General features: G+C 48.7%; 1 protein-coding gene across 10 annotated transcripts in view, besides 3 other annotated features; it reads right to left on the minus strand.

Moving 5' to 3' along the window:
- Positions 1-18,953, minus strand: part of TRABD2B (TraB domain containing 2B) — a 236,858-nt gene that overhangs the window by 130,289 nt on the left and 87,616 nt on the right. The gene's annotated exons all lie outside the window — the stretch shown is intronic.
- Positions 3,799-4,796: an enhancer, noted in NCBI's record as "OCT4-NANOG-H3K27ac-H3K4me1 hESC enhancer chr1:48360287-48361284 (GRCh37/hg19 assembly coordinates)". NCBI's record gives its function as "activates a minimal SCP1, AML or CMV promoter by ChIP-STARR-seq in naive H9 embryonic stem cells {active_cell/tissue: H9 hESC(naive)}" and the evidence as "EXISTENCE:reporter gene assay evidence [ECO:0000049][PMID:30033119]".
- Positions 6,264-6,764: an enhancer, noted in NCBI's record as "H3K4me1 hESC enhancer chr1:48362752-48363252 (GRCh37/hg19 assembly coordinates)". NCBI's record gives its function as "activates a minimal SCP1, AML or CMV promoter by ChIP-STARR-seq in primed H9 embryonic stem cells {active_cell/tissue: H9 hESC(primed)}" and the evidence as "EXISTENCE:reporter gene assay evidence [ECO:0000049][PMID:30033119]".
- Positions 7,267-7,792: an enhancer, noted in NCBI's record as "OCT4-NANOG hESC enhancer chr1:48363755-48364280 (GRCh37/hg19 assembly coordinates)". NCBI's record gives its function as "activates a minimal SCP1, AML or CMV promoter by ChIP-STARR-seq in naive and primed H9 embryonic stem cells {active_cell/tissue: H9 hESC(naive and primed)}" and the evidence as "EXISTENCE:reporter gene assay evidence [ECO:0000049][PMID:30033119]".

The following is an 18,953-nucleotide window of genomic DNA, read 5'->3' on the forward strand; positions in this document are numbered from 1 at the left end:
AGGCAACAGCTTCGAAAGAAATCCTCTGTGCATCTTCATTACAGCAGGTAGGTTGCTGTATTAAGGACGTTTATGGGGCTGTCCTTGGCACTAGTGCCGGTTCCCATCCCTATCTTGTTTGGTATGGAGTCTGGAGGTGCACAACAGCACTCGCTGGATCCCATTCATCTAAGAGATATTTTTGGAGTAGTTACCCAAGGAGAGACATAGGGAACAGTGGCTGAGTTCCAATCCCGGCTCACTATAACCTTGGACAAGTTGCTTAATCTCTGCCTCAGTTTGTTATAAGGATTAACTGAATTATTATTACAAGTAAACTGTTTAGAATAGTGCTTAGTGTACATAATAATGCTATAGAAGTATTAGCTGTGAAAATGTGCCAAGGATCATACTAGGCACTGTTCACATAGCAATGAGTCAAACAAAGTTCCAGCTGTCATAGAGCTTACATTTTAGCAGGGGAACAGATGAGAAACACACAAATATACACGCCATGTAGGAAAAGGTGCTATGAGCAATAAAGCAGGGCGCAGAGACAGAGAGTAAGCGGGGCTACTATGCAGGCAGGGGAGGCTTCTCTGGGCAGGTGATACTTGAACACAGGTTTGGATGAAATGAAGTATATATGAGCCACGGGACTACCTTGGGTAAAAAGGGTTCCAGGCAGAGGCAAGAATATGTTTTGTGTGTTCAATAAGAGCCAGGCACGGTGGTTCATGCCTGTAACCCCAGCACTTTGGGAGGCTGAGGCAGGAAGGCTGCTTGATCCCAGGAGTTCGAGACTAGCCTGAGCAACATAGTGAGACCCCATCTTTACAAAAAATAATTTTTAAAAATTAGCTGGGTGTAGTGGTGCACGCTTGTAGTCCCAGCAACTTGGGAGACAGAGATGGAAAGACTGCTTGAGCATGGGAGGTTGAGGCTACAGTGCACTGAGATCATGCCACTGCACTCCAGTCTGGGCTACGGAGCAAGACCCAATTTCAAACAAAACAAAACAAAACAAAACAACAACAACAAGAAAAAACAAAAATGAAAGAAAAAAAAAAGAAAGAGCAAGGGACTAGTATGGCTGAAGTGGAGTAATGGTGTCAGTGGTCCAAGATGAGGTCAGTGAGGTAGCTGGGGTCAGATTATGCAGAGGCTCTTAGGCCACATTAGGATTTAGCTTTTGCTAGGAGTAAAACAGAAAGCCAGTGGAGGGTTTTCAGAATTAATGTTTTGAAGGATGGCTCCAGGCTCTGTGAGAAGCACAGCCTCCTGGAGTGGGAGAAGGCAACAGAAGGGAGACCTGTTACAGGCAGCTTATTACACGCAATTGTGGTGGTGGCTGAGGCCATGGTGCTGAACAGGAAGGGTGGGGAGAAGTAGTGGAATCCTGCTGTCTGTAGGATGTAGACATGACAGAAACTGCTGACAGACTGGATGGAGGTTAAGAAAGAAAGAGAACAGTCAAGGATGACTCTAAGACTTTTGGCCTGAACAACTGGCAGAATGGAACTGCCATGTGCTGAATTGAAGAAGTCTGGTAAGAATCAGGACTGGGAACCCATGAGGGGGAGAATCAACTATTGGTTAAAAGTTGTTAAGCTAGAGATGTGTATTTGCCACCCAAGTGGAGATTCTATATCACATCTGGATATATGAATCCAGAGAGTTTGTACGAAGAGAGAATTTGGGCTGCAGATTGAAATGATGGTCTCCTCGGTACAAAGTAAGAATGGATAAGTACAGAAAGAAGAGGACTGAGGACTGAGCCCTGGGACCCTCCAGAGTTTAGAGGTCAGAGAGGTGAGAAAGAAGCAGCAAGGAGACTAACAGAGGCTACTGAGGTAGGATGAGTGAAGGACATATTTCAAGAAGGGGCATGTGCTGATGGGTTGAGAAAGATAAGGACTGAAAATGACCCTAGGATTCTTCTATGTGAATGAATGGTGAGGAGGTGATAACAGCTGAAGAATGTATCACACACTGGAGGAAATGGAAGCCATCATCGGAATTCAGGTTGACCATGTGGCTCTGGGAAGGCCAGCACCATGAAACAGCAGGTACAAATCCAGTCTCCAGTTTTAGAGCCTTGGGAAGTGCAGTCTGACATGCAAAGCTTTTAAAATTTTACGAGGGCATCCAGAGGAATAGGAAGAGGAAAAAAGGTAAGCTGGTGGGGAGTGATTTATACACATTACAGAAGTACATAAATGGTGCTGAGGGCTTCCAGCACCCTGCAGAAGCCATTGTGAGGTCAGTGGTGAGACAGGTCTATGTCCAGACGCAGTGTCATCTGGCCAGATGGCCCCTCAGCTGGTGGGTGTGTTTCATCTCCCCTGGGTTACCAGGAGAAGTGGATAAAGTTAGTGACTTATTTATTGTTTTCTGTTTCACATTTCAATTCAGTTGATTATATATAGTTTTCAAATATCTAAAAAAAAAAACAAAAACAAAAACTGATTTGCTTCCTAAAAGTGTCCTCCTCATCCCAACTCCTGGTGTTCTATGGGACAGAGTGCATTCACAGAACCTCTGGGGGGCCAGGCAGAGGGAGTGGCCAGTATGTGGAAAGAACATCCTTTGAGATCAGACTTAAGTAGAAACCCTCACTCCATCACATACCATCTGGGGGATGTTGAACAAATAAGAGCCTCCCTGAATTCTACTCGGGTTTCCTGGGTGTTGCCTTTTTAGGAAAGCCCTACTTTTACCTGCCCTTAGCCCAGGCTGGTGTAGGTTCTCTTTACAGCCATGCTCTTAGCGCACCTTGCCTCACATTTCAATGCTTGAGAGCTTGTTGACACTTGGCTATGAGCTTTTAGAGGGGAGCCCTTGTGTTTGATTTGACAATGAGTACACTGCACAGGGAAGTTGCCAAACATGCTGTTGTTGATTAAATGCACAGTCGCTACCTTCCTAGCGTTGTTCCAGGGACTAAAAGAGAAGAGTTATGAAAAAGTTCCCTGCCCACAAATCAACAGAGGGCTCAGGCATGTCTGCAAACTGCCTAGATTCATCAGAGGGGCAGGCTCTTGGACTCTGCGGGGGCCCAACTTCTCGGGCTGCTTCAGGATCCTGGCTTTGGTGATGGAATCACCAAAAAGCGATTTGTGAGACAATGCTCTTCCAGGCCTGGCATTATCCCGAAACCCCCAAATAACCTGCTGTGGATCCTCCCTCTGATTGTTGATTGTGCTCCTCCTTGAACTTACTTATATTGTCAGCCTATATTCATTCATTTATATTCTTTCTTTACTTCAGTAATTCAAATACTATTATTGAGGGCTCGGCGCATGGGGAGGCACTGTTCTGTATGCTGGGGATACAGTGATACACAGTGTGGGTGGGGGTGTTGCGGATGCAGCCTACAATAATACTTAGGACTCTGCCATTGAGAGCCAAGCCGCCTTGGTTCACATCCTGGCTCTGACACTTAGTACTGTGACCTTGGGCAAGCTACTGAACTTTTCTGTGCTTCAATTTCCGTATCTCTGTAATGGAGATATAATGGTACTTGGTTACTGAGTTTGGGAGGATTAAATAAATTCATCACATAAAGTGCTTTGAACAGTGCTTGACACATGGCAGGCACTCAGTAAGTTCTTGTTATTCTTATAGCAGTGAACACAGAAAAGTCACTAGCCTCACAGGGATTACATTCCAGTGGGGAGACACACAACAAGCACCTTGACAAGGAGCTACCTAATACCAAGTGCCACGAAGAACAGCAGAGTGAGAAGATGGAACAGAATGGGACCAGGGTGTGCTATGTGAGATATGGCAGTCAGGAAGGCTTCTCTGAGGAGGTGATATTTCAGCAGGGCACTGAATGCATTTCGGACCACATGGGACCAAGTCATTGTGTCAATTAGCACCCCACCAGCAGTATGTGTGAGTGCTGGTAGTGAAGGAGGACACTTCCAGTAGCAGAATGAACAAGCCAAGAGTGAAGAATAGGGACAGGGAAGTGAACATGACGTACCACTCCTTCCACAAAGAATCTGGGGCACCGTGACACATGCTCTGCAACATGTGCTGAGGACACAGACATGACTCAGATGGCACTCCTGCCCTCAGGGGAGTGGCCAGACGTGGCCACAGACAACCAGAATACTGGGTAGGAAGAGCTCAGGAGGAAGAGCTCTGCCAGTACAAGGGCAGGAGCCTCCTGCCTCCTCCTCCACCACCCCAGTCCTGGCTCAGCTTCCTGCATAACAAGGGATCTAAAAACGCATCTCAAAGGGTTGGGAGATATTCAAACAGCCCTCAGGACAAAATCATATCCTGCGGCCCCTGCCTCACCCCAAGGATATAGATTTGACACTCAACAAAGGAATTCCCCAGGAGACGGCCACAGGGAGGAAGACCTGAGTTTCATAGCCTGAGCCTACACTGGACACAGAGGATGAGCGGAGGGGACGTGGATAGTCTCTTGCAGCCCACTCGCCCCACCCCCCAGCCAGGAAGCCCAGCCCAACACCCGCTTCTCACTGAAGTTACCATAAAGCACAGCCTGTATCTGATCACTCTGTGTGAGCACTGAGCGAGCTGTGGGTTGCTCTGCTGAGCGGAGGGAAGCATGTACACTTCCAAGTTCAACAACCTTGATGCCTGGCAGTGGGTGCCCTGGGACTGCCCAGCCTGGACCCCACTGCCCCCCTCCCACCACAGTTAAAGAAAGGCTCCTTGTTGAGGAGAGGAGCTGGTCAGGTTGCCCTCAGGTCTCGCTTCCCCAAGGACCAGGTGTTTTACTCGGCAGCAAACCAGAGCTGTCCTGGAACCAACCCTGTTCAGACTTTGTCACCCTGTCCATCACCCTGGCTTGGCTGCAGGGCCCAAGGTGGCAGGAGACAGAGTTCACTCCTCATTTATTTTCAACATCCACTCTAGGGAGGTTGGATTAAAAGTCTCCTGGAATGACAGTGCCAGAAAGCCCTTGGGTGATCCTCTGGGCTGAAAGGGGCCCATAGGGCAGAGATTTCCTCAGGTCGCACTGCTGAGGAGGGAGGGGCAGAGATGGTGCTGGCACAGATCCCATGCCCACCCCACTCCCAGGCCTGCCTCCTCGTACTAGTGTTTGCTTTCCCCCAGGCCTGCGCATATTCTCCATCACTGGGACTTGTCCCACCAGTGAAGGGGGGAAGGTTCCTGTGTGCCTTGGCCCCAGTGGCAGGACTCATTCCAGCAATGGCTGCCGGGGGCATGGTGCCCAGCACTGGGCTTCACAGGCACACATTGTGATCTCCAGCCCCTAAACCACAGGCTGTCCCTGCATCTGTCAAGTGCGATCTCTCCTGGCCCCTGCTGGCCCCTCCAAACAAGCTATCTTTATGAAATGCAATGACTGCCCTCCATATATTAAAATAACACCTCCCCAGGAAGGACCTCACGTCAGGGCTGCCGCACAAAGGGACATTCACAGGATGGCAGAGGGAAGCCAGCGGAGGCTTGGCCCAGGGCCTAGAGGGAAGAGAGGATGAGGAGTTTGGGGGTCTCGGGTTACAGAGAGAAGGGTGGGTTAAGGGAGGCAGGGATGGGGCTGTGGAGGCTCAAGGCTAACAAAGAAACTCTGGGTTCAACAGAGTCACGCAGCCCACTCCACACTGATGATGCAGACCCTGGGCCTGGCTATTTCCAGCCTGGGTCCAAATGCCATGGCCTGTACTGCCCAAACCTCCCTCTGGAACCCAAGCAGAGACCCTGGTGGGAAGTGGGGATGGAAAAGGCCTCAGATATTAGGATCTGCTTCCCAAAGATGTTGTAGCGAGAGTGGGCACAGAAGCCCAGTCTGTGCGTCACTAAAATCAGGCAGGCTTGGGGAACTGGGCTTGCCAGGCTATGTGTGATCTGCCCACGAGCTGAGCTCACCCTCTCTGAGGTACCTCTACCTCTCGGCCTGGGGAATACAGTCTAGATTCCGACTGGCCTGGGTTCTGATCCTGGTACTGCCACTTCTTGGGCAAGAAACTCCAACTCCCTTGGCATCAGTTTCCTCATCTGAAAAGTGGGAATCATGACAACTCATCTAAAAGATGTGTTATGAGGATTAAGCAAGATAGTGTCAGTAAAAGTAGTTGCACATAGTAGGCTCTCTCTCCCTCTCTCCCTAACACATATATACTGAGCCCCTAGTATATGTTGAGCACTGTTCTCAGTATGTGGGATATTCAGCATGCAACAGGCCCAAATTCCTGCTCTCCTGGATCTCACAAGGTATTGGATGTGATAGGGTAAGATGGACAGTAAACAAAAAACATAGCAAGTAAATTATGTAACATGTTAGATGACAGGAAGTGTTATGGGAAAGGAGAAAGTGGAGCAGGAACAGGGGACAGGTGCACTAGGCTGAAGTTTTAAATGGAGCAGTCATTGAGAAGGTGACATTTGAATAAAGACACATAAGAGATGAGGGACAGCAAAGACCCTGAGACAGGATCATGCTTGGCATGTCCCAGAAACAGCAAGGAAGACAACGTGGCTGGAGGGGAGGTAGGAGACGATCAGAGAGGAAGCGAGCTGGGGGCAGCTGATCATTTTGGGCCTTGTAGGCTGCTGTACTGCACTTCCTAGGCGGCCATAGAAGGAGTAACCTGCGGAATGGCCCTGATGGATGAGGAGGAGTTCACCGAGCCAAGAAGCAGACAGGCTCAGAGGTGTATCCAGAAAACAGGCTCTTCCACACGGGGAGGACCCTGGAGGGCAGCTGCAAAGATGGAAGATTTTTGATGTGTTTTGGTAAAATGTGAATTGCATCTGAGGAAGAAATAGCTCTTCTTTTAAAAGGCAAGGTAGGGCCACCATATCTCAGATCCTGTATTCATCACCTTTCTTCGTAACTACATACTTGTCCTTATCACAGCTCAATCAGTTTCCTCCCTACCCCTCATTTGCACCACACAGGTGTACACACACACACACATATACAATCTGACCTGCCCCTGCCCAGCTAGAGAGCAGGTACCCAATGGGCCAGACACTGCAGCCGACCTACTCTACCTCTCTGAGCTTCTGTATTCTTAAGCTGGAACTGACCATATCTTTTTTAGAGGGTTGATTATTGGTAAGGATTAAACTAACATGTAAAAATCCCTTGCAAAGGATAGCGTTCTATACAAACAGAAGTGTTAGCTATTTACCTGATACAAGAAAAAAATAACTGGAAGTTACTTTTATCCTATAAGAATTTTCCTTCAGTATCTACACTGTCCCAATTCACTGATAATCACTCCAACAACACAGGTTGTTGGGTGGCACAGAATACTGGCTCAGAACATTTTTGTTAGATGAATGAATGAGCAGATGAAGGAAGGGAAGAATCTAGGCATAAAAGGCATAAAAGCAGGCAGGTAAGCTACTGGTGAGGAATGTGGAGGAGGCAACTTGTCAAGCAGGGGCTACGAAGGCTGGAACCCTGAGCCCTAACAATGGCAAGAAAAACAGTCACAACCTCCCCCATTCCCAGAGGCCTCCGCCCCAATCTTTGAGCCCGGGCTGCTCTGGCTCTCCCTCTGATAAAAGTCACTGCCCTCTCACTTAGGTGCCATTAGGATGCTAATGATGTGTGATTAGACCTGCTCTGAGACTCCCATTTGACTGACCTCAGGATGGCAGAAGTTTGCCTGGAGGCCAGGAAAGAAAAACACACAGAAAAGGAGAGGCCTAGGCTCTGGAGGGAAGCCAGGGAGGCACTGGGTGGGAACAGTCAAGAGCAAGTTAGGGGCTCTGCATCTTCAAGGGGACTTTTTTGAAGCCAGAAAGAACCTTGATGGTCATACGAGCTCTAACTCCCTTATCTACAATTCTGAAATCCAAAACGCTCTGAAGAATGTCTTTGGTAACTTGACCTGAACTTATCCAAGGCTATATATAGCCTTGATCTCTCCCACGTTTTGTGAATATTCATGTTTTGCTGCACAAATGTTAATGTATTTGATTAAGAATGCTGCTCCAGGCCACAATGGGGTGTTAAATGATGTATGGATATATACCATATTTTGCCATCTAACATCCAAAAAATTCTGAATTCTGAATTCTGAAACAAATGTGGCTTCAAGGGTTTTGGAAGAGAGACTGGAGATCTACTCTACTCAGCTGTGGATTTCTTTAAATTGCTTATTCCTCCATTGACTCATTCACTCATTCATTCATTCATTCATTCACGCATTCAGTCTTCACGGCCTTCACCACCTACATGTATCCTTTTGCTGTTGGAGAAGGCCTTACATCCATATTTTTCCTCAGCAAGTGCCCACTGAGTCTTTCTGGATGTGAGACCCTGGCCTGGGCCCATAAGGGCTCATCTTACATATCTTTCTGTCTCTGCATTTGTCCACTGGGCTGTGTCCTCTGTTTCCATCTGACTTCCACTCCAGGTGGGGGTTCTTATGTGCACAGGGCATGATCTTCTGCTTGCCCCACAGATCTTGGCATGCATGTTGGTCTCTGCAAGTGGAGTGCCCTCAACAACCTCCTACAGACATGGAGAAGGCCCAGGCCCTGTTCTCTAAGGTGCTCATGCACACCTGGAGGAGTGGGCCACCCAGAGTGGGACCTAGAGAATCACAGATCAGTAAGGCAAGAAGGACCTGCGAGCGCTTCTGGTTTAGCCCCTTCTGGTGCTTTGGTCCCCTGAAACAAGGCCCTGCAAGGCCACTTGGACACTGCTGTGGCCCACTCCATTACATACAATGCCACCTCTAGAAAACTGCTGTCTGATAAGAGGATATCTGCCTACGTGGCACTCTGCCCATGAATCTTGGGAGCAGTGAGAGATGCAATCATTCAAAGTTGGGGAAACCATGGAAGGCTTTCTGGAGGAGGTACTATTAGAACATTTTGAAGAAGAAAAAGGATTTTGGTAAGTTTTGTGTGTTTGTGCAATAGTGGTGGTGGTGGTGGTGTGTGTGGTGGGTAGATACAGCATTCCAAGGGAAGCCCTTGGAAATGATAATGAGCCCTGGTTGTGGTGGACAGGGCGATGCAGCCCCCAGGTCCCATGTTAATGAAGGACTTGTTGCCCCAGCTGCTGTCAGTGCTGTCAGAGTGCAGCCTTGCACTGTCAGTCTCTTTTGCCCCAGTTGCAGAGCCTCTTTGCTCAAAGTTGGGCCCTTCAATGCACGACCCATATCCAATGAGAGTCAATTCAATGAGGAATAAAGGCAGGTATGCAAAGGCCCAGCCAGCTATTTCAGATCCAAGTTTCCCTGTGGAAAGTGCTTGGGCCTGCATCTCAGCTTGACTTCTCCCTCTGCTCCATTTGTTTTCTCCACCCACCCCCAAGGACCTCCCTAATAAATATACATGGAAACCACCTCAGAGTCGGCTTCCCAGAGAACTCACCTGCCAGACTGAGGGGGTGTGGGGGAGGAGGTCAGAAGAGGGTGCTGTTGGCAGATTGTTGTTGGAGGGACTGTTGGAAGATTGGGCTGGAGAGGCAGGACCTGGCCAGCCCACAATACTCTCTCTCCCCGTTTGGGTTTAGGGTTCCTAAGGCAGGGCCCACTTGCTCTCACACGACTTCAGGAGAGAGTGCTAAAGCCATGAGTTGGCAGGAACCGAGCAAGTGCCACCTGCCAGGCACTCTGTTGGGTACTTAGTGCCTGTTATTTAGTGGGATCTTCACACCGACTTTACCTGTAGGTTGTATAATTATCTTATCCTTAATAGATGAAGGAACTGAACACTGAAGAGTTTCAGTCATTGCCAAGGTCATGCAGCTAGAAAGTGGGAGCACCTAAAAGTGAAGTCTGATGCCAAATACACAAGCCTGTGTATTTCCTCCAAGAGGCCCCCACCCCTCCATAGAGCAAGAGCACTGTTATCTCTGATGGCCAAACCTGTTCAAAATTTCTATGTTTGCTAAATGAACGAAGTAAAAACCTAGTTTCCTTTTCTTGGTGTCAGCTAAGTGCTCCGACTATGGCCGGGGTCGGGGCTCTGTGCCTCACCTGATGCCAAGGCCTAGTTGTGTGTGTGATTTTGGGTTCAGTCTGAGACCACAGGACAGCATTTTTGTCTTGGTAAAATTAACTAACCATGACACTATTGGAGGGCCATCCTGCTCTCTCAATCCAAGCACCATCTTTTAAGAGACAAAGAAAGCAGAAAGGGCTGGGAGTGGGCACCAAGGAGTAAGGAGACGGATTTGAAGGGGTTCTATTCAACCTTTTATCTATCATCAAAACCCTCCATCATTAGGTTAGTTGTGCCCGTCTGTCCCATAACATTTACAGACAATCATAAAAGGGTGGGTAATGACTGCAATTACAACTGAAGGACTGGTTTAATGAATATTAAACAGCTTTGAACATCAAAGTACTGGCTAAAGTGGAAACCTAATATCTCTCCTCTCAGCCCCTGCCGCCCTGCAAAAGGGTAAGGCAGATGGCCTGGCCTTCTGCAGGGCTGTCAGGAACAATTTGCAAGAGTCACCAAGTGGCACTTGGAACAAGTTCTTCTGCCTGGAGGCCAGCCCAAGAAATAAAGGGATCTGCCATTATCTTCTCTGCAGCAATCAGCAGGGGAGAACAGCCATCTCACAGAGGAAAGGAAGTCCACAAGAAGCAGAGTCTCCCTTCCTAGGGAAGTCTGCTCAGGTGGGACCACAGGGAAGCTCTTGCTCAGCCAGCATGGCTCAGCGGCAGGGGGCATGGACAGCCTGCTTTCACCTCTCCACCCCTCCCAGTCCCTTTCCTGATTCTGTCTGCCTCCAGTCCTCTGCCTCCAGGCCAGCTGGTATTCAACAGCCTCCACCTCCCTGACTTAACTCATTCACTCAGGTATTTAGAGAGCTGAACAAGACGTAGCCCCTGCACTCAAGGAGTTCATGGTCTAATGGAAGCAACAGGTACATAAGAAGTAACACTGATATAGATTGATTACAGCCATGGGGGCAGACTTCTGGAGAAGAGTGGTTCAGGCTAACGGAGCAGCATAATTAACCAGGCAGGTCTGTGTCCTCAAGGAAGCCCAGGGTCTAATTAGGGAGACAGGCACGTTGGCAGTCTGTGGGACAAGTGTCATGTGAAAATCCAGGATGAGGGGCAGTTGGGGCTCCTTGAGCAATCAGAGAAGGCCTCACAGAGGAGGTGACATTGAAACTGAGCACAGAAGAGGAAGAAACTCACCTGTGGGGCAAGGAGCCACAGGGTGCCCTAGAAACAGGCAGCTACTGTCCTGGTAAGTCTCCTCCTGATCCCTCCACCCACTCTTCTGCCCACTCCCCTAGTACAACCTTCAATTGGCCAGCACCTCACAGTTGCCCCAGTGTTTACTGTTCATGAACGGCCAAATATTTTGACCAAGCCTCCCACAAGGTGCATCTTCCCTGGTTGGCCCTGACTGGTCTTTACCAAGAGTTTACATGGGACACGTGATGTGCTCACTGCTTTCTCATAGGACCCTTGGAACCTCATGGCTTGCGGTTCTGAGGAGGCTTCTAACCCTTCTCCCATAACCAAGTTCTCAGGCATGTGCCTCTCTTGAAAACCAGGGGCACAATAGGTGTTGATAAAATGGTGGGATGAAAGAGAAGCCTCTGAGTTCCCAGGGTGACTGCCAAGTAGATGGGCAAACAGGGGGTCCAGAGAAGAACCGAGACCCACGAGAAGGAGTCCAGGGTCCTCAGGCTCTTTAGGATCCACAGTGGCTCTATACTCTAAGGCCAGCACTGGGCAACTCGACTTCCTGTGGATGGAAATTCTTTCTTTAAGAGACAAGGTCTCACTCTGACACCTAGGCTGCAGTGCAGTGGCACGATCATAGCTCACTGCAGCTTTGAACTCCTGGGCTCAAGTGATCCTCCTGCCATATCCTCCTCAGTAGCTAGGACTACAGGGTTACACCACTATGCCTAGTTAATTTTTTATAGAGTCGGGGTCTTACCATGTTGCCAGGCTGGTCTTGAACTCCTGGCCTCAAGCCATCCTCCCACCTTGGCCCACCAAGGTGCTGGCATTACAGGTATGAGCCACCCTGTTCGGCTTGATGATGGACATTCTTTAGTACATGTGGCTGTTGAGCACCTGAAATGTGGCTATTGAGACTGAGGAATATAATTTTAATGTTGTTTAATTTTAATTAAATAGCCACATGTGACTAGTAGCTATCATATTTGACAGCACAGGTCTAGTCATAAATTCATCCTGGTATCTTAAACATGCCAGATTTTTTCATGCCTCACAGCCCCTTCTGCCTGGAAAGTCATTCCCCTCTTCTCTGTCTGGGTTCATGAAGCCACTCAAGAGTCACCTCCCTGGAGGAGTGTTCCCAAGGCTGAGTGAGATGCCTCCTCCTGTCCCTCAGAGCTCTTGGGCTTCCTCTGGTCATGGCACTCACTGTGCACAGTGTTGCTTATTTATGTGTCTATCTCAGCTTCTAGACTGGTGACATCTGTTGGAGGGCACCCTTGAGAGTGTACGTCAAATTGCCTTGGGGCTTCTATACACCCTCTCCACCTGCAACTTCTGCACACCCTACGTCAGGGGGCTTCTGACACCCCTCTGCCTAGGGGCTTCCAACCATCCCCTATGCCTTGCCATTCACAGAGACCCAGCTGTGCCTCTCCTACTGCCCAGCTGTGCCTCAGGGTCTTGGTGTGAAGATCTCGCTGTGACATAGTGCATAAGAAAAACGGTTGGGAATCATTTTCTGAGCAGGGGCTCCTTGAGGAGAAGGAGCTTTGTCTGCACTGTGTCTGTGCCCCCAGGGCCCAGCAGAGCCAGGCACAGAGATGGGGTGAAGATTGTGTGAGGAGGGAGGCAGTGGGAGTTTCCTGCGGGGTGGAGTCAAGGCTTGAGACCCTGAGAAAATAGTTGGAAGGGAAGCCAAAGCTGAAGCTCCACTACCACAGGGCTTCCTGGGCAGGGGCAGTTAGAGTCAGTGCAGTTCTGAACCCAGATTGCAGGCAGGTGGAGGAGTTTCCTTTCCAAATCCCCCAGGGTGGCAATGCCTCTCATTACCATAAATGAGAATGGCTGCTAAATCCTGCATTAAGCTAAAAACTTAACACCCAGTAAATATTTATTGATCACATGTAACCCTGATTAACCCCAAGAGCACTGGGGGCTCACCAGGCCAGGCTACAGGATCTGCCTGCCTGCTCCAGTTTGGTCAGATCAGGTCACTCTCCTGCCTCTGCCTCCTGCTCTGAGGTGTCTCTCCTTGACCACACCCACTGAGCACAACCTTTGGGCCAGGCCCTATGTGATGAACCCATGAGCTCATCCTGGGGAAGAAAAGAGATGGGCATATTTCCTCCAAACCTAACTTGAGCACAAACTAAAATAAGGCCTGCAGAAGGAGCTGTAACAGGGCACTGATTGTGAGATTTGGAGAGTGGGATGATGTTTGCAGAGGGAAAATGAGGGAAGGCTTCCTGGAGGAGGAGTGATCTGAACCTAACCTTGAAAGATGGGTGGAAAGAATGTGGTAATAGGTCAGGGTCTTGGAGGCCATTAAAAGAGATGGAAATAGCATGATCAATGGCTGGGATGGGGGAAGCACAGAGTGTGGTGGAGGAAGCCCTGGGGGCTGAGAAGCAGGCAGGAGAAATCGAGTTTAGATTTTACTCAGTAGGTGAAGACATTTATATGATGGTTCCTTTCCCATCCTGGGGCAACTCTTATAGGAGCAAATATTCAACCCCTGATGGAAACCATGTTACCGTGTTACAGCAGTGGAGCAGTGGACAGGGAACAAGTAACTGGAAAGAGGGAGAAATCATGACTGCTAAAGCAGGGATTCACAGGACAAGGGGTGCTTGCGAAAAGCCCCAGGGTCCTGGGGCTCTCGCTGTTCACCTGAGAGAATCTCATCTTCACAACAGGATCATGCACTCCCAAGGGAGAGACTATGCAGCCTCCTTTGTCTCCTGCAAAGCCTAGTACAGGAGAGGAGGAAGGTCCTGGAAAGCCATGTTGATTCACAGCCCAATTCCTCTCTATCACACTTGCCTCCATGCCAGAAATTCCACCATTAACACTGTTCTTCTAATTGAGTTAAGCATTGCCCTCCATATATTACATTCTCACTCTGCTTTCAAAATATAATATCCTCTGTGCTCTCTCCCGATATAGGCTGACTCCTAATGCTCCAAATCACTTAAATTATATTCAGTATGCCTCCCTAAAAATTAATCAGATTTAAGTTAACATACTCTGATTCTACAGAAACCAGCTGACATGTTGAGCCCATAGCCTGGGCTCTCTGTGGAGGAAACAAAGGTAGACACAGGCTGAGCCTGCTTTCAGGGAGCTCATGGTCAAAGAGGAGGAGAGGAGACAGGGAACAAGTAACTGGAAAGAGGGAGAAATCATGACTGCTAAAGCAGGGATTCACAGGACAAGGGGTGCTTGCGAAAAGCAAATGGAATGAGGTAACACATGTATAAGCATCTGGCTCATGCCTGGAGGGGAGCAGGTTCTCAATAAATAGTGGCTAAGTTTAAACTCCATTCCTTCATTTTTCTCAAAGGATCCAAGACCTGGGGACTACTATGGCGTGAGGAGCAATGAGAACCAACTTCCCAGAGGAGCCGTCCTGGCAGCTGGGGATGGGGAAGGGAGTGGTAGCTAGATGTCTGAACAGGGAAATGTCTGAAGGTTTCCCCAACCCAGACTTATCTTTGGGCCTGTTTCTGGTTGAGGTTCTCAGGGAGTACATGTTGCAACCTACCCCATCCCACTCAGCAGAAATAAACTAGCACCCTACATCTACATGGTTCCCTAGCCATCCCTGTCCCCAGCCTCCCATGGCTGTGCCTCCACTTTGGAAAAGAAATCTACATTTCCCATCCTTTGCACCTGATGCCACAATTCTTCCACTCTGCTGCTCTACATAAACTCTCTTGACATTCTCCTTTTCTCTCTCTGTATGTCTATCTCTCTGCCTCCTTCTCTCTCTCTCTCTTTTCTTTCTCTTTCTACCTCCCTTTTGTCCCCAGCCCTCAATCTCTATGGCATATGGTGTGAAAGAATACAGTCATACATATTTTGGAGGGGTCACCTCACTGGCCTCCAATACTGAACCAGCTGCAGAGAGAGCGAGAAGTGGAAGGCAAGGTTTTAATTCTGGGGAAGGGCTACCTGATGGTTGTTGCTTCCCATTTGGAATCTCACCAGCCTCTATCCCTTGCACCTGCCGCTCTTAACCCCAGCACTCCACATTACTCCTGGGCTTAGAGGTCTTCCAGCACTCCTGCCATGTCTCATTTTTTTATGCCCAGAAACAAGTAAACAATGGCTCAGAGAGTGGCACACCCTTGCTCAAGGTCATACCTCAGGCCTGCGGCAGAGCTGGGATCAGAAGCCAGGTTTCCTGAGTGCTCCCCACTTCAATGGCCCTCCTGTGGCACTGACTAAGGCCCCATGAAAGAAAAACACTATTGGCTACATCGTGTGTTGTGCACACAGTGTACCAGCCACAGGGCTTCGTGCTTTGAATGACTCATTGAAGAAACATAACTCATTTATAATGAGTTACAGTCTTGATAACCCTAGGAGGTGGACACTATTATTTTCCCTATTTCACAGATGAGAAAACTTAAGCTCAGAGAGGTTAAAGAACTTGCTAAAGGTCAACAGCAGTGAGTTCACGTTAGCATTTGATTCAATCCAGGCTTTCTTGCACCAAGCTCCACGCTCTTAGCCATGGCGAGATAATGCCTTTCTGAGAACCCAGGAATTCTGATCCCAGTTTTGAGGTTGCCTTTCTTCCCCTCTTCTCAGCTCCATTCTCCCAGATAGGATTCGAGCGTAGCAGGGCTCTGTCCAATCTCCCCATGGGATGAGACTGATTCCCCAAGCCTAGACGGGTAATACTGCAACCCTGCTTGGTAGCAGCCTGGCTGGAGGCTGTCAGCCGGCTGTCAACCACACCACAGGAAAAGCTGGATTTCTCCACAGCTGCCCCTGCAGTTCAAAGGAACAGGGGCCCAGAATCTTGGCTAGGATGGCCTGTATTATGACAGGTCTAGGAACCTTAAAAGCAAAAGACAGCTTAATAATGCAGCAAAGAAAACACAAGTCCTTTGGCCTGGCTCTTGAGGGCAGCCAGAAGCTTAGCAGGGGGACCTGCCAACACCAATCCCTTGTGCTGTCGGTCCCCCTCCGGCAATAGGCACAATGTTAGAAAACACAGTGCCTGCCCAGTTTCAGCCCCTTCCCCGGACAGTGATGGCCTGCTCCCTGGAATAGGCTTGGCGGTCTCCTGCCTGTACATGACAGGCAGCCCGTGCGAGCACCAGCCGGCCGCTGGCGTGGGGAGGGAAGGAAGTGGGGAGTCTGGCTCCAATAACACACACTTTCCAGGCACAAAAGTGTGGCTATTCAGGCAAAGATGCTATAAGCTCCAGCAGCTGGGGCTGCGGGCCCCAGGCTGCCTTCACAAATACACTTTCATGCTTATTAGAAACACTTTCTTTCATGACCAGGGATTTGTTCATTAGTCGGGCTGGGCTACTAACATGGCTTTTTACAAGAGAGTCATGGTCATTGAATTTGGTTTTCTAGCTCTCCTCAAGCCACTGAATAATGGAGATATTAATGCAAGAACAGGTGGGCCCACCTCTCTTAAAGAAAACTTCTGAGAACAGGAAATGATATAATATCAGAAAGTATTTGAGTATCTATTCTGTACCCTGCACCTACCAGGTACCTTTCATGTTTCCTGTGTTCCTTCCACTTAATAGATGAGGAAACTGAGGCTCCAACATGAGTTAGGACTTGTGGTTGCCCTGTAAATAGGGAGGGGAACTGGGATTAGAACCTGGTTTGTATGACTTTTGGGCCTGGTGCTTTCTCCATTATGCCATGTCAGGAGGGAGAAGCCAGTTGCCGGGTGCACTCATGTTTGTTCTCACTCTTTAACCATCTAAAGGAGGAGGATCCCAGGTCGCTGGAGGCCATGAGAAAAGCAAAAGGAGTCCTGAGTCTAGAAGTCAAATTGGTAGGAAAACCCTCACAGTGTTTCCTTTGACCTGCCTCCCTTCTGTGTAATAACTGATTGAAAGAACTGAGCTTTAACTGTCTTTCTAGCAATAATGTTAACTGCAGGATTCACTGGCATCACAATGTCGTAGAACCCACTTGGTAAGGCAAATTGAGGTACCTGGCTGTGGGTGGAACAAAGAGAGGGACTAGGTAAAGTTTTTGCCTCCTCTCTTCTTCCAAATTTTCCGTATTTCTTTTCTTTTCTCATTAAAAAGTAACCTGAGAAGTGTTCTCTCCCATGAAACTGTGGAAACCTGGAAATGACCTAAATGTGGTCTGTGGCCATTAGAAATGAGACCATGGATATGTATTTACCTTAGTGGGAAGATGTTCATGATATATGGTGAACTGAATACAGGAAGTTTCTGAAGAGTATGTATAATAATAATCCCATTTTTATAACTATGTATTCATCTATATGCACATATAGAGAGAGACACAGACTTGCAAAGGGAAATGTCTAGAAGGATATACATCAAATGTTAACAGTGGGTATCCCACCAGATGGTGGAATTTTATAATTTTTTTGTTTGTGCCTTTTACGATGATTACATAAAAAGAGAAAAAAAGAGGATTTTTAAAAAGAGGAAAAATTTTGCAATCAGATAATTGATTGGGAGAACTCAGGCCAATCAAGAAGTCCTCTGGGCCTCAGCTTCCTCATCTGTAAAATGGGCTTCTACCCCACCTCCAGAGTTGATGCAAGGGTTAGATAAATTCCATGGACGGACCTGGTGCCTGGGACTACCCAGTCTGCACAGGCTCCTATTCTCTCCCTCCTGTGCCTCTCCTTCACTCTCATTTCCTGTCTCTTGCCACCTCCTCTGTCCCTTTTCCTTCCTCCATTCTGTCTGCAGCTCTTTCTCCTCCAAGCCTCTCTGGCCTTTTCTTCAACCCTCAATGGCCAAGGAGCCAGCTCGGCCAGGCACACAAGTCCCACCAGTGTCCCATCTGGGAGGCAGCAGGCCATGGAGGGCTCTGGCTCCTCATACCATGTACAGAGATGGTTTTGGGAGGGGGCAGTTCCAGCATTCTGGAACACCTGCCCCTGAGGCCCTTCTGACTGCTCCTTAGGACAGTCTGTCTGAACTGCAGCTCCCCGAAGACATAGCGGACTTCCTTTACAGAGCTTCAGCGCATGAATCTAGGACGGCTGACAAGGGCTGGACATCAGGAAGGTCTTTCAAACCTCCAGGAACCTCCAGCAAAAGCTTCTGCTGAGCTCCTGCTGCTCTTGACTTTCTGCTTTCCAGGCCAGCCTCCTGAGTGGCCTGTGCGGTTGGTCACCAACTGACCTTGGCTCCTGCCATTCTTTTTGCTAGGCATGCTCTTAATAATAACTGACATCTATTAAATACGTGTGGACACGTTCTAATTTTCTCTTTAACTGTGCAAGGTAGTGTGTTAGTCTGTTTTGCATTGCTATAAAAGAATACCTGAGGCCGGATAATTTATAAATAAAAGGGGTTTACTTGGCTCATGGTTCTGCAAGCATTACAAGAAGCATGGCACCAGCATCTACTTCTGGTGAGGGCCGCAGGCTGCTTCCACTCCTGGCGGAAGGAGAAGGGGACCAGCCATGTCACAGGGCGAGAGAGGAAGCATGAGAGAGAAAGAGAGACAGAGAGAAGGGGAGAGAGAGAGAGAGAAGAAGAAGAAGAAGGAGAAGGAGAAGGGGAAGGAGAAGGAGAAGGAGAAGGAGGAGAAGGAGGAGAAGGAGAAGGGGGAGGAGAAGGAGAAGGAGGAGAAGGAGGAGAAGAAGGAAGAAGGAGGAGGAGGAGGAGGAGGAGGAGGAGGAGGAGGAGGAGGAGCCAGACTCTTTTAAACGACCGGATCTCATGGGAACCAATAGAATGAGAACTCACTCATTATCATGGGGAGGGCACTAAGACATTCATGAAGGATCCGCCTCCATGACCCAAACACCTCCCACCAGGCTCCATCTCAAACACTGTGGATCTCTCCCTCCCTCCCTTC

Source organism: Homo sapiens, chromosome 1, assembly GCF_000001405.40.
Source record: "Homo sapiens chromosome 1, GRCh38.p14 Primary Assembly".
NCBI classification, from domain to species: Eukaryota; Metazoa; Chordata; class Mammalia; order Primates; family Hominidae; genus Homo; species Homo sapiens.